This window comes from Homo sapiens, chromosome 16 (assembly GCF_000001405.40).
Source record: "Homo sapiens chromosome 16, GRCh38.p14 Primary Assembly".
Classification (NCBI taxonomy): domain Eukaryota; kingdom Metazoa; phylum Chordata; class Mammalia; order Primates; family Hominidae; genus Homo; species Homo sapiens.
The window spans coordinates 68162230-68177282 of record NC_000016.10 but is presented as its reverse complement, the minus strand read 5'-3'; the positions used below and the strand labels follow the sequence as shown (position 1 = coordinate 68177282).

Here is a 15053-nt window from a genome sequence, read left to right as displayed (position 1 = left end):
GATCAGGAGTTCAAGACCAGCCTGGCCAACATGGTGAAACCCCATCTCTATTTAAAAAAATACAAAAATTAGCCAGGCGTGGAGGCAGGTGCCTGTAATCCCAGCTATTTGGGAGACTGAGGCAGGAGAATCACTTGAACCCGGGAGGCAGAGGCTGCAGTGAGCCAAGACCACACCACGGCATTGCATGCAGCCTGGGAAACAAGAGCGAAACTCCATCCCAAAATTAAAAAAACAAAAAAAAAAAAAAGAAAAGAAAAGAAAGAAAGAAAAATATATATGACCAGAACAAACTCAAGAAGAAACAAATCTGACTAGTCCTACAACCACAAATAGAAATATATCACAAGTTAATGGCTCCCCACAAAGACAGTCCCCTGTCCAGAAGGTTTTGGAGGTGAGCTCTGTCACATGTGCAAGGGAACATGAGAGTACTCAACAGATACTGTTAATGAATGGAAAAAGAAGAAGCACTTCCCCCAAATCACTCTGATATCCGGAATATATAAAGAATTCCTTAAGTCACTAAGAAAATGAAAAATGATCCAATGGAGAAAACAGGCAAAGACACAGTTATTGCATAGTAAATGAAATATTAATGGTCCATAACAACCTCAACAGCTATCAGGGAAATTCAAACCCAAATTTCAAAATACCATTTCACCTCTAGTGGATTAAAAAAATTTAAGAATTTTAATATTCTTGCCTATGCCTACCAGGTACAGCAGTGCCAAAAACTGGACAATATCGAAATATCCAGTAAGAGAAAGGATAATAAATTGTGGTACATTCATACAACGAAAAACTTTATAGTAGTGAAAGGTCTTCAGTTACATGGATCAGTCTTAAAACATTAAGACCTCTGAAAATACAATTTTTCAAAGAATAGAGGCAATATCGTACAAAGTCCAAAAACAGAAAAAAAAAAAAAAGATGTTGAGCATTTAGGTTGTTTCCATTTTTTGGCAATTATAAATAGTTTTATATGGTTGAAAAGCAAGGGTTACAGCCGGGTGCGGTAGCTCACGCCTCTAATTCCAGCACTTTGGGAGGCCGAGACGGGTGGATCGTGAGGTCAGGAGTTAGAGACCAGCCTGGCCAATATGGTGAAACCCCATTTCTACTAAAAATCCAAAACTTAGCTGGGCATGGTGGTGGGCGCCTGTAATCCCAGCTACTCGGGAGGCTGAGGCAGGAGAATTGCTTGAACACGGAGGTGGAGGTTGCAGTGAGCTGAGATAGTGCCACCGCACTCCAGCCGGGGTAACAGAGCGAGGCTCCGTCTCAAAAAAAAGAAAAGCAAGGGTCAATTCAGATGATGGTTCCATTTGAGAAGGGGGACCCAGGGGCTTTCAAAGGTAAATGTATTTCTTAAACTTGGTAGTAGGTTTAAGTATTTGTTATATTATATTATTCTTATAAAAACAGTCTTTCATGACTGGCGCGTAGATCCTAGCACTTTGGGAGGCTGAGGTGGGCAGATCACTTGAGGTCAAGAGTTTAAGAACCAGCCTAGCCAAGGTGGCAAAATCCCGTGTCTACCAAAAATACAAAAATTAGCCAGGTGTGGTGGCGTGTGCCGGTAATCCCAGCTACTCGGGAGGCTGAGGCAGGAGAATCGCTTTAACCTAGGAGGCGGAGGTTGCAGTGAGCCAAGATTGTGCCATTGCACTCCAGCCTAGCCAACAGAACAAGTCACTGTCTCAAAAAAAAAAAGTCTTTCATAAGTTTTAAACATTTTTAAAACTGAGAGGAAACAACTGATGTAAAAGTGTTTTAAATATGCACAAGAAGGAATAAAATCAAACACCCTGATAAACACTGAATTCTTCTACTTTAAAAATAATTGAGGTATAATTCACATACTATAAAATCCATCCTTTTAAAGTATACTACTCAGAGGGTTGGGGGATATTCACAGAGCAGTACAACCATCACCACTATCTAATTCCAGAAGATTTCCATCACTCCAAAAGGAAACCCAGTTCCCATCAGCAGTCACTCACTACTGACAACTTCCTCCAACCACTGGTAAGCACTAATCTACTTTTGGTTTCTGGATTGCCTATACTGGACATTTTATACAAATGGAGTCATATACTATGTGTCCTTTTATGCTGGCTTCCTTCACTTAGCCTATTTTCAGGGTTTATCCATGCTGTAGCATGTATGAGTACTTCATTAATTTTTATAACCAAGTAATATTCCATTGTATGGATATATCACATTTTGTTTATCCATTCATCAGTTGGTGAGCATTTAGGTTGTTTCCATTTTTTGGCAATTATAAATAAAGTTGCTATAAATATTTGTCTCTAAGTTCATGTACGGACACGTATTTCTAACCCTTTCAAGTAAACACTTAGGAGTAGAGTTGCTGGGGGAATTCTACTTTTCAGACATCTTAAATTATTATTATTACATTATTATTTAGAAACAAGGTTTCACTCTGTTGCCCAGGCTGAGGAGTGAAGTGCCACAATCAGAGCTCACTGTAACCTAGAACTTCTGGGCCTAAGTGATCCTCCTGCCTCAGCCTTCTGAGTAGCTGGAACTACAGGCACATGCCACCATGCCCAGCTCCTTAAAGATAATTTAACATTTATATGAAAATTTAATAAATGTTTGGTTTAAAATAAAATCAAGTGCAAAATGACACCCATAGCTTTATGAAAACTACTTTGTAATTTTTGTTACAGAAACATCTAAATAATTTATTTTACCCTTTGCCCCTTAGTTTGAAGTCAATCAACTCATATATTACTTACCTTGTCCTTTTTCAAGAAAAATGATTTTGGATTCTGGAAGAAAATTAGATCCAGTCACAACCATTTCATGACCTCCATTTACAGAACAACTGTTGATACTGTACTTCTCAATATGAGGAAGTTCTTGAGCAGACCGCTGGGCTGTTTTAAATTTTTTTAAAGAGTTGAGAAAAAACAAAATATTAGTTAAAAATCTTTGATACATAAATGACAAACTCAAGCTACAAAAAGAAAATAAAGAGAAGCAAATTTTGGGATTCATTTAGGCTTTTAAAATTCAAGACAATGGCAACAAAACACACTAAAAGAACTAAGCTGTTTATAAAACAAAATAGATATATTAATGTGATTTCTAAGTATATTTATTTAAGAAAGGGTCTCACTCTGTTGCCCAAATTGGAGCACAGTGATGTGATCCTAGCTCCCTGCAGCCTCCAGTTCCTGGGCTCAAGTGATGCTCCCATCTCAGTCTCCCAAGTAGCTGGGGTTACAGATGCATGACACCATGCTCAGCTAATTTTTTTTTTTAATAGCAACATGGTCTCACTTTGTCGTCCAGCCTGGTCTCAAACTCCTGGCTTCAAACAATCCTCCTGCCTTGGCCTCCCAAAGTGCTGGCATTATAGGCTTGAGCCACCACACCCAGCCAATTATTTTCTTAGACTACAACTATAAAGAAACTAATAAAACTTCATTAATATCTTCAACTTCATACTGACTCCAACACATTTACCTCATCTGCTTTTCTTTTTGCTTAAATGTTTAATATGTTTCTTCTATGCAACTATCCGTTAAAATCTATAAATCTAATTACAAAAAGCATGTAAGTCCAAAGATGTATAATTATATTGCGTGCAATGAAGAGAAGACAAGTTCTAGGAAACTACTACTAGACAAACACCAAGTAAGCCTTTCTTTTTAAATTCATTTTATTTATTTATTTTTTTTGAGACAGAGTCTTGCTGTGTCGCCCAGGCTGGAGTGCAGTGGTGTGATCTCGGCTCACCGCAACCTCTGCCTCCCAGGTTCAAGTGATTCTCCTGCCTCAGTCTCCTGAGTAGCTGGGATTACAGGCATGTGCCACCATACCCGGCTAATTTTTTTATTTCTGGTAGAGACGGGGTTTCACCATGTTGGTCAGGCTGTTCTCAAACTCCAGACTTCAGGTGATCTGCCCGCCTCAGCCTCCCAAAGTGCTGGGATTACAGGTGTGAGCCACCGCGCCCGGCCTATATTTTTATTTTTTTTAAAGACAGAGACTTGCTCTGTTGCCCAGGTTATTTATTGCCCAGTGTGGCATGATCAGCTCACTGCAGCATCAAACTCCTGGGCTCAAGCAATACTCCCACCTCAGCCTCCCAAGTAGCTGGGACTACAAGCATGTGCCACCGTGCCTGGCTGATTTTTAATATTTTATTTTTGTAGAGATAGGGTCTCACTTTGTTGCCCAGGCTGTTCTCGAACTCCTGGGCTCAAGTGATCCTCCCACATTGGCCTCCCAAAGTGCTGGGATTACAGGTGTGAGCCACTGGGCCCAGATATTTACATTATCAACTTCTATAAACAGTGCTTACGGTGCCACCTTTCTCTGATAATGACTGGTTCCAAGTTGCTACATTTTCTGGAGATTCTATTTCTGGCATTTCTTTCTTTTAATTGCTTGAGTTTCAAACTGTAGATTATACTTCTTTTCATTGTGTAGGTTCTCTAACGGTTGTTTTTGTTTGTTGGATTTCAGAAACGGTCATGCACTGTCACCAAGGATGAAGTGCAATGGCATGATCACAGCTCTGCAGCCTCAACCTTCTGTGCTCAAGTGATCTTCAGATCTCACCCTCCCTAGGAGCTGGGACTATAGGAATGCATTACCATACACAACTAAAAAAAAATTTTTTTTGTAGAGACAGGGTCTTATTATGTTACCCACGCTGGTCTCCAACTCCTGGGCTCAAGCAGTCCTTCTGGACATAAGCAGTACTCCTGCCTAGGCCTCCCAAAGAGTTGGGATTACAGGTGTGAGTCGGCATACCTGACCTCTAATGGTTTTTTCTTGCCAAATACCTAGATACCTAGGTTTCTCTCTGAATTAAAACAAATTTTAAAAGTGTTGATTATATCTCTTCACATTTGGAAAACAGGTCCACTTTTACTTCTAGTATGTGGGTGGGAAAACTGGTGGGTTTGAAGATCAGCTGTGTTTTCTTTGGCTAGCAGAGTATTTTAAGGAAATTTAAAATGCAATGCCATTAGGAAAGCATCCATTCCCAGCTCACAACAGCTCTCAAGTACTTAATACCTAGCCACAAAAGTACATAAATTGGGACGCCAGCCCGATTCAAAGAGAGTATTATAATCAATTCTTTCATAGAAGATGCCTACGTGGGCCAGGCGCGGTGGCTCACGCCTGTAATCCCAGCACTTTGGGAGGCTGAGGTGGGCGGATAACGAGGTCAGGAGTTCGAGCCAATGAGCCCAACCTGAACACACTTTTGCTGTTACTTAGAACGTACCTGTAGTCACCAACATGGTGAAAACCCGTCTCTACTAAAAATACAAAAATTAGCCAGGTGTGGTGGTGCACGCCTGTAATCCTGGCTACTCTGGAGGTTGAGGTAGAAGAATCACTTGAACCCAGGAGGCGGAGGTTGCAGTAAGCCGAGATCGCGCCACTGCACTCCACCCCTGGGCGAAACAGCGAGACTCCATCATAAAAAAAAGAAAAGAAAAAAGATGTGTATGCAGCCAGGCGTGGTGGCTCACGTCTGTAATCCCAGCACTTTGGAAGGCAGAGGCAGGTGGATCACCTGAGGTCAGGAATTTGAGACTAGCCTGGCCAACATGGTGAAACCCCATCTTTATTTAAAAATAAAAAAATTAGTCGGGCACAGTGGTGCATGCCTGTAATCTCAGCTATTTGGGAGGCTGAAGCAGGAGAATCTCTTGAACCTGGGAGGCGAAGATTGCAGCTAGCCAAGATCATGCCATTGCACTCCAGCCTGGGCAACAGAGTGAGACTCTGTCTCAAGAAAAAAAAAAAAAAAGATAGGTATGGGATTTAGGATCAGTTATTACTTGGGATGTACCAAGCACCAACCTAGATCTCAGAAAATACTCATGTCTCTACTGTTCTAAATAGGACATAGAGAAGGGTCCGGAAAACAAACACTGATTACAGGTACATTCTAAGTAACAGCAAAGTGTGCACAGGCTGGGTGCGTTGGCTCACACCTATAATCCCAGCACTTTAGGAGACCAAGGCCGGCAGATCATCTGAGGTCAGGAGTTCAAGATCAACCTGGCCAACATGGTGAAACCCCATCTCTATTGAAAAATACAAAAATTAGCCAGGCGTGGTGGTAGGCACCTGTAATCACAGCTATTCGGGAGGCTGAGCCGGGGGAATTGTTTGAACCCAGGAGGCAGAGGTTGCAGTGAGCTGAGATCGTGCCACTGTACTCCAGCCTGGGCGACAGAGCAAGACTCCATCTCAAAAAAATAAAATAAAAATGTGTTCAACAGATGGCATAAACATGCCAAAAAACTACTTGCGTGATGAAAATAATATTTTTGAAGAATATTTAATAACAGAAGAAAACATCTATGATAGTATAAGTGAAAACTGCAAAACGATATAAAACTGTATCAGATAAGCCCAATTAAAAAACATTGTGTGTGTATGTGTGTTTACAAAAAGACATACAAATACAATAAAAGAAAATCGAGGCCGGGCGCAGTGGCTTACGCCTGTAATCCCAGCACTTTGGGAGGCTGAGGTGGGCAGATTACTTGAAGTCAGGAGTTCAAGACCACTGTGACCAACATGGTAAAACCCCATCTCTACTAAAAATACAAAAATCAGCTGTGTGTGGTGGTGGGCACCTGTAATCCCAGCTACTTGGGAGGCTGAGGCACAATAATTACTTGAACCTGGGAGGCAGGGGTTGCAGTCAGCCGAGATTGCGCCACTGCACTCCAGCCTGGACCACACAGGGAGACTCCGTCTCAAAAAAAAAAAAAAAAGAACAGCCAGAAAAGGTTAATACTGACTATATATAAATAGTAATATTACAAAATAATTTAATATTATACTATTCTTTGTACCATTTTGTGCTTTTTTTTTTTTTTTTTGAGACAGAATCTCGTTGTTGCCAGGATGAAGTACAACGGCATGATCTCGGCTCACTGCAACCCAGCCTCCCAGGTTCAAGTGATTCCTTTGCCTCAACCTCCCAAGTAGCTGGGACTACAGGCACACGCCACCACGCCCATCTAATTTTTGTATTTTTAGTAGAGATGGGGTTTCATCGTGTTGGCCAGGATGGTGTCGATCTCTTGACGTCGTGATCTGCCCACCTCGGCCTCTCAAAGTGCTGGGATTACAGGCGTGAGCCACCATGCCCAGCCCCATTTTGCATTTTCTATATTCTCAATAATCACGTTAATTTTATTTTTATTTTTTATTTATTTTTGAGATGGAGTCTCACTCTGTCGCCCAGGCTGGAGTGCAGTGGTGCTCCTAGAATTTCTCTACATCCCACCTTTCTCCCCACTCCATCCATTTCCTTTCTTTCTTTTGAGATGGAGTTTCGTTCGTTGCCCAGTCTGGAGTGCAATGGCGTGATCTCAGCTCACTGCAACCTCCGCCTCCTGGGTTCAAGCGGTTCTCCTGCCTCAGCCTCTGGAGTAGCTGGGATTACAGGCACGTGCCACCATGCCCAGCTAATTTTTGTATTTTTCGCAGAGACAGGGTTTCACCATGTTGGCCAGGCTGGTCTCAAACTCCTGACCTCAGGTGATCCACCTGCCTTGGCCTCCCAAAGTGCTGGGATTACAGTTATGAGCCACGGCGCCTGGCCAATTTTATTTTTAAAAAAAGAAAAAAAATTAAGAATCATTTTAGCGTAACTTCATCTCAAACACTCAAACTACTCTATGAACTTAAATTATTTAAATTACTTTGCCAGCCGAGCATGGTGGCTCAAGCCTGTAATCCCAGCACTTTGAGAGGCCAAGGTGGGCAGATCACTTAAGTCCAGGAGTTCAAGATCAACCTGGGCAACATGGGGAAAAATGCAAAAATCAGTCAGTTGTGGTGGCTTGTGCCTGTAGTCCCAGCTACTTGGGAGGCTGAGGTGGGAGGATTGCTTAAGCCTGGGAGGCGGAGGCTGCAGTGAACCAAGATCATGCCATTGCACTCCAGCCTGGGCAAAAGAGTGAGACCCTGCTCAAATAAATGAATTAATAACTTTACTTTAAAATAGAGTGATCTATGCTTACCTGGGCATAGAACCCTCTGGCAGGATAATTAAGAAGCTGGCAATGGTAGCTGTTTCTAAGCAAGAGAACTGGTTGACTTGGAAATTTATCTTGTACTCTATATTTCTGAATTTTGTAGCATATACCTATATTACCCATTAAAAAGTTAATATAGGCTGAATGTGGTAGCTCATGCCTATAATCCCAGAACTTTGGGAGGCTGAGATGGGAGGATCACTTGTGCCCAGGAGTTCGAGACCAGCTTGAGAAACACAGTGAGACCCTATCTATACAAAGAATATATTTTTTAAATTTTAAAAATACAAAAATTAGTTCTACAGCTAATTCACCACAGATTTACTCAGTGATTCCCAGAGTCAACTGGCAAATGATAAAGTATCACTCCAATTCAGCGAACAGCAAAAGAAGGCATGAAAGATTTTATAGCAGATGTGGCCCCAAATTAAGAATACAGGGCTGGGTGCGGTGGCTCACGCCTGTAATCTCAGCACTTTGGGAGGGCAAGGTGGGCAGATCACGAGGTCAGGAGTTCGAGACTAGCCTGGTGAATATGGTGAAACCCCGTCTCTACTAAAAATACAAAAATTAGCTGGGTGTGGTGGCACACGCCTATAATCTCAGCTACTCAGGAGACTGAGGCAGGAGAATCACTTGAACATGGGAGGTGGAGGTTGCAGTGAGCCAAGATCGTGCCATTGCACTCGAGCCTGGATGAAAGAGGGAGGCTCCGTCTAAAAAATAATAATAATAATAATAATAATAATAAAAGAATACAAGCTGGGTGCAGTGGCTCACACCTGTAATCCCAGCACTTTGGGAGGCTGAGGTGGGCAGATCACTTCAAGTCAGAATTTCGAGACCAGCATGGCCAACATGGTGAAACCTCGTCTCTACTAAAAATACAAAAATTAGCCAGGTATGGTGGCATGCCCCTGTAGCCCCGGCTACTCAGGAGGCTGAGGCAGGAGAAAATCGCTTAAACTCTGGAGGTGGAGGATGCAGTGAGTTGAGATTGCGCCACCACATTCCAGCCTGGGCAAGAGAGTGAGACTCCGTCTCAAAAAACACCCAACCCCCTCACCTGAAAAAAAGAATACATGTGTTTGGCCGGGCGCAGTGGCTCACACCTGTAATCCCTGCACTTGGGAGGCCAACGCGGGTGGATCACCTGAGGTCAGGATTTCGAGGGCAGCCTGGCCAACATGATGAAACCCTGTCTCTACTAAAAATACAAAAACTTAGCCAGATATGGTGGCGGGTGCCTGTAATCCCAGCTACTTGGGAGGCTGAGGCAGGAGAATCGTTTGAACCTAGGAGGTGGAGGTTGCAGTGAGCCAAGATCACAACACTGCACTCCAACCTGGGCAAGAAGAGTAAATCTCCGTCTCAAAAAAAAAAAAAAAAAAAAAAAAAAAAAAAAAAAAAAAGAACACATACGGTTAACAGATATAAAACATTATATAATCAACAGAGTATAAGAAAACCTGTTTTCTAGGCAGCACAGCTCTATCACTAAAAAGCAAATAACCTTGAATGAGTACTAGAGATACTTGTGCCTCTGTTTTCTCCTATGCAAATAAAACATGGAATCAGAATATTCTAAATTATGTCCTAAAGATCAAGTATTAGTCTCAATATTTCAAGTCATACCAGCTAACCTGCCCAAGATCCACAGTTCCCCAGGATTGAGTACATGTCAGGCTGCAGGGTCTTTTCTTGTATCTTGGTTTTGTATGTTAGGAAAAAACATTCACTATCTCAATCAGATGTTGTAAATAATTTGAACAAAAGCTCTGTTAAGTCTTATTTAGCTAAAGTATCAGCTTACAGAAGTAAGTACCTCCTAGCATGAAGGCTGACATTTTAATGAAATAAAGACCAAGTGATACTTAAAAGCATCTGAATCATAGCTTCATGATTTGGTCCTCAGATGGCATCAGGCCCCCCATTCTCATTTACAGACAAGAAAACTGTGGTCAAGAGAGGTTGTCTGTAGTTCACAGAGCTACCTAGTCAAACTATCATGAGAAACCATTTTCTAATTCCAAGATCAGTACTCTTCCACCCAAACATGTTAGCTCATTTCCACATGAGAAAATCAAACCAGCAACCCAGATTGTATGCCTCAGTTTGCACTTCAGACGCATACATTACATTATAAGTAAAACAGAAAATAAGCTATTATACACAAGATCTTAAAACATCATCACAAGCTCACTTACAGCACTCAACGGGTATAGAGGCTATCTGCAGAGAAAGGACTTTTCCACTGGGCTGTGGGATGTGTACACGAAACACAAGTCGTACTCTAGTATTCTTTCTGCCAATATCAGTTTCTCCTTTTCGAAGTTCTATATCTGAATTGCGGAGTTTCAAAATACCTGCACAATCAATACTAAAGAGAAAAATACAAAAATTTAATTTGTTTATTGATAATCATGGTTATAAACAACTCAACTACATAGAAATTGTTAATTTGTCAGAAAAAAACTACCCAAAATTAGGTCAAAAAAGAAAGATATGTATGATTGCTATTCACTGCTAAACTGAAGTTTAGGCATTAAAAATATTTTTGTACGATAAAAGTGCAAAACTTAGCAGATTGTCTGCAAAGTTAATAATTCCTCTTCATTCCAGTACTTGCATGCCTTTCCTCCTGCCATTAAGACGTAGAGTATCTATGCCTGCTCTCCTTGAGAACTGGCCTATGACTTGCTTTGACAAATGGAGTGTGGCCAAGTGACAATATGCAAGTTATGAGCCTAGCACTGAAGAAGGCTGGTAACTTCCACTTTTGCTATTTTGGAGTCCTGAGTAAGAAGTCCAACTAGCATGGTGCAGAGAAAGGCCCAGACAATCCCTAACCACTCCAGCCACCCAGCCACCCTAGCCGTTTTGGATGTTCAACCCTAGCTGAGCTCCCACTTAATCCAGGTACTTAAGTGACCCCAGCTGACACCATGTGAATGGACCAGTTGAGCTCAGTCAACCCAAAGAATCATGCAAAATAATAGAGTGATAACTATAAGCCATTAAATTTTTGGAGTGTTAGAACCAGACAGCTGAAATAAAGTAAAGACTCTTTAATTCTACACATGTAACTACGTCAGAACAAGAAATAATTTATCAACAGCATATTTAGACTTTTATAGTGATGTATTTATTAATAAAAACAATCTATCAGGCTAAAATTCTTGAATTTCTAAGGAATGCACATGTAAGATGAAGGTTCTGCATTTAAGGTATAACATTTCATCATCTGCTAACTTTATTATTAAGTATGACTGTTTAACACACTATTGTGGCAGGAAACAACAGAAGCTACAAAATACCTTTGTTATTCACATATTGGAAGAATAAAGCAAATGGATAACTAATTATGATCAAATATACTAGTTAACCTTGCTAACAAGGCATTCGTTGTTATCTGTCCTCTTACTGGATCTATCAACAGTTCCAACCCTAATGCTTATTGCACAGAGGCTGCAGAAGTCACTTTGAAGGACAATATATTACAGAACTAGGATAGCAAGACAAGAACCGGCCGGGTGCAGTAGCTCATGCCTGTAATCCCAGCACTTTGGGAGGCCAAGGTGAGTGGATCACCTGAGGTCAGTATTTCGAGACCAGCCTAGCCAACACAGTGAAACCCTGTCTCTGCTAAAATACAAAAATTAGCCAGGCATGGTGGCGTGTGCCTGTAGTCTCAGCTACTTGGGAGGCTGAGGCAGGAAAACTGCTTGAGCCCAGGAGGCAGAGGTTGCAATGAGCTGAGATCACGCCACTGCACTCCAGCCTGGGCAACAGAGCAAGACTCCATCTCCACCAAAAAAAAAAAAAAAAAAGAAAAAGAAAAAAAAAAAGACAACCAATAAAACAGAAGGCAGAATCCCAAAAGGAATTAAGCCACTCAAAATTTTTCATCTTAAGAAAGACACAGGAGAAGAATTTTTTTTAAATGCAACAATTTTGAAAACTAAAAAAGCATTTGCCATTTATAGATAACAAATTATATAACTGATACTGAACAACTGCACTTTAGCTCAAAGCAGTATTATCAAGTTATATCAAATTAGTGATTATTCATGTTAACATGCCAACATGGGTCTTCAGGGGAAATAGCAGAGATCATCTGTGTTATTAAGTACTGAGCAAAGGCATACTAGCAGCAAACTAAGTTCCTAATAGATGTGAAATAACAGTACCAGAAAGTACATCTGAAAACTCTTAAATGCAAAAAACAAAAAAGCAAGCAAAATAAAACAAGAAAAAAACTCTTATGTAGCGGTGAAAATAAGTATTAAATTATCTTTAAAACTACATTTATTTATTTTTTTAAATTGTTTTTTAAATTTTTTTGAGACTGAGTCTTGCTCTGTCACCAGGGTGGAGTGCAGTGGCGCCATCTTGGCTCACTGCAACCTCTGCCTCCCGGGTTCAAGGGATTCTCCTGCCTCAGCCTCCCAAGTAGCTGGGATTACAGGCGTGCACCACCACGCCCGGCTAATTTTTTTGTATTTTCAGTAGAGACGGGGTTTCACCATGCTGGCCAGGATGGTCTCGATCTCCTGATCTCGTGATCCGCCCACCTCAGCCTCCCAAAGAGCTGGGATTACAGGCATGAGCCACCATGCCATTTTAAATCAAGGTGTAGCACTGCTACATCAATATTAATCCAATGTTAAAAAAACAGAGGAGCTGCAAAGAGCTAAGGCAATAAATACTGGCATCCTATATTTAAAGCATCTTGTAGGGTAGCTCTGTGACTTATGCGTTAGTGTAATGGTCTTAGAAAAGAGATTAGGCGCTCTCCCTCTCCCTCTCCCTCTCCCCACGGTCTCCCTCTCCCTCTCTTTCCACGGTCTCCCTCTGATACCGAGCCGAAGCTGGACTGTACTGCTGCCATCTCGGCTCACTGCAACCTCCCTGCCTGATTCTCCTGCCTCAGCCTGCGATTGCAGGCGCACGCCGCCACACCTGACTGGTTTTCGTATTTTTTTGGTGGAGACGGGGTTTCGCTGTGTTGGCCGGGCTGGTCTCCAGCTCCTAACCACGAGTGATCCGCCAGCCTCGGCCTCCCGAGGTGCTGGGATTGCAGACGGAGTCTGGTTCACTCAGTGCTCAATGGTGCCTAGGCTGGAGTGCAGTGGCGTGATCTCGGCTCGCTACAACCTCCACCTCCCAGCCGCCTGCCTTGGCCTCCCAAAGTGCCGAGATTGCAGCCTCTGCCCGGCCGCCACCCCGTCTGGGAAGTGAGGAGCGTCTCTGCCTGGCCGCCCATCGTCTGGGACGTGAAGAGCCCCTCTGCCTGGCTGCCCAGTCTGGAAAGTGAGGAGCGTCTCTGCCCGGCCGCCATCCCATCTAGGAAGTGAGGAGCGCCTCTTCCCGGCCGCCATCCCATCTAGGAAGTGAGGAGCGTCTCTGCCCGGCCGCCCATCGTCTGAGATGTGGGGAGCGCCTCTGCCCCACCGCCCCGTCTGGGATGTGAGGAGCGCCTCTGCCCAGCCGCGACCCCGTCTGGGAGGTGAGGAGCGTCTCTGCCCGGCCGCCCCGTCAGAGAAGTGAGGAGACCCTCCGCCCGGCAGCTGCCCCGTCTGAGAAGTGAGGAGCCCATCCGCCCGGCAGCCGCCCCGTCTGGGAAGTGAGGAGCGTCTCCGCCCGGCAGCCACCCCGTCCAGGAGGGAGGTGGGGGTCAGCCCCCACCAGGCCAGCCGCCCCGTCCGGGAGGGAAGTGGGGGGGTCAGCCCCCCGCCCAGCCAGCAGCCCCGCCCGGGAGGTGAGGGGCGCCTCTGCCCGGCCGCCCCTACTGGGAAGTGAGAAGCCCCTCTGCCCGGCCAGCCGCCCCGTCCGGGAGGGAGGTGGTGGGGTCAGCCCCCAGCCCAGCCAGCCGCCCCGCCCGGGAGGTGAGGGGCGCCTCTGCCCGGCCGCCCCTACTGGGAAGTGAGGAGCCCCTCTGCCCGGCCACCACCCCGTCTGGGAGGTGTACCCAACAGCTCATTGAGAACGGGCCATGATGACAATGGCGGTTTTGTGGAATAGAAAGGGGGGAAAGGTGGGGAAAAGATTGAGAAATCGGATGGTTGCCATGTCTGTGTAGAAAGAGGTAGACATGGGAGACTTTTCATTTTGTTCTGTACTAAGAAAAATTCTCATTCTGTTGATCTGTGACCTTACCCCCAACCCTGTGCTCTCTGAAACATGTGCTGTGTCCACTCAGGGTTAAATGGATTAAGGGCGGTGCAAGATGTGCTTTGTTAAACAGATGCTTGAAGGCAGCGTGCTCGTTGTTAAGAGTCATCACCACTCCCTAATCGCAAGTACCCAGGGACACAAACACTGCGGAAGGCGGCAGGGTCCTCTGCCTAGGAAAACCAGAGACCTTTGTTCACTTGTTTATCTGCTGACCTTCCCTCCACTATTGTCCTATGACCCTGCCAAATCCCCCTCTGCGAGAAACACCCAAGAATGATCAATTAAAAAAAAAAAAATGATCAACATGTTCTTTGATCTTTGCTTGTCTTTCTTCAGCCCTTCTCTGTCTATAAAGTCAACCTTGTCGGAACACTTATGTATTTTATGGAATGAAGTGTTGCCCAATTCCAGAATCACCAATAAAGCCAATTGAGATGTTTAAAAAAAAAAAAAAAAGAGTTTAGGCTTGAAATAACCAAGCCCATGGCTTAGTAGGCAAAACCAAGGGAGTATCTATGAATTTTTCCACACCTTATTGCCTTAAGAGAACAGTAAAGACACTTAATACATACTTAAGGTTCACTTATGCATAAATTATTTTGAACCATGGTCTTATCTATCACCTGGGAATTTTAAACCTACCATTATCTGGAACTATATTATATTCAACCACTGTACTGAATAATATAGTTACATTCAACAAGCTACTAGGATACTAGTTTATCCTAGCAATTAGCTACTGAGTAAACAGGCTCATTCATCATTAGCTACCCTGGTATCTACAGTACCTAAAAAAAGTTTCTTAGGTTTAGTAAC

The 15053-nt window shown here is 43.4% G+C and overlaps 1 protein-coding gene across 3 annotated transcripts in view, besides 1 other annotated feature; it reads right to left on the bottom strand.

Annotated features, from left to right (window-relative positions):
- Positions 1-15053, bottom strand: part of NFATC3 (nuclear factor of activated T cells 3) — a 143890-nt gene that overhangs the window by 51977 nt on the left and 76860 nt on the right. For all 3 annotated transcript variants that reach the window (NM_004555.4, NM_173163.3, NM_173165.3), the window contains exons 5-6: positions 10268-10440; positions 2769-2909 (exon numbers count right to left, since the gene is read on the bottom strand). In NM_004555.4, coding sequence (NP_004546.1) covers positions 2769-2909; positions 10268-10440 — 314 coding nt within the window. The remainder of the gene's footprint in view (positions 1-2768; positions 2910-10267; positions 10441-15053) is intronic.
- Positions 12852-13719: an enhancer, noted in NCBI's record as "H3K27ac hESC enhancer chr16:68197467-68198334 (GRCh37/hg19 assembly coordinates)". NCBI's record gives its function as "activates a minimal SCP1, AML or CMV promoter by ChIP-STARR-seq in naive H9 embryonic stem cells {active_cell/tissue: H9 hESC(naive)}" and the evidence as "EXISTENCE:reporter gene assay evidence [ECO:0000049][PMID:30033119]".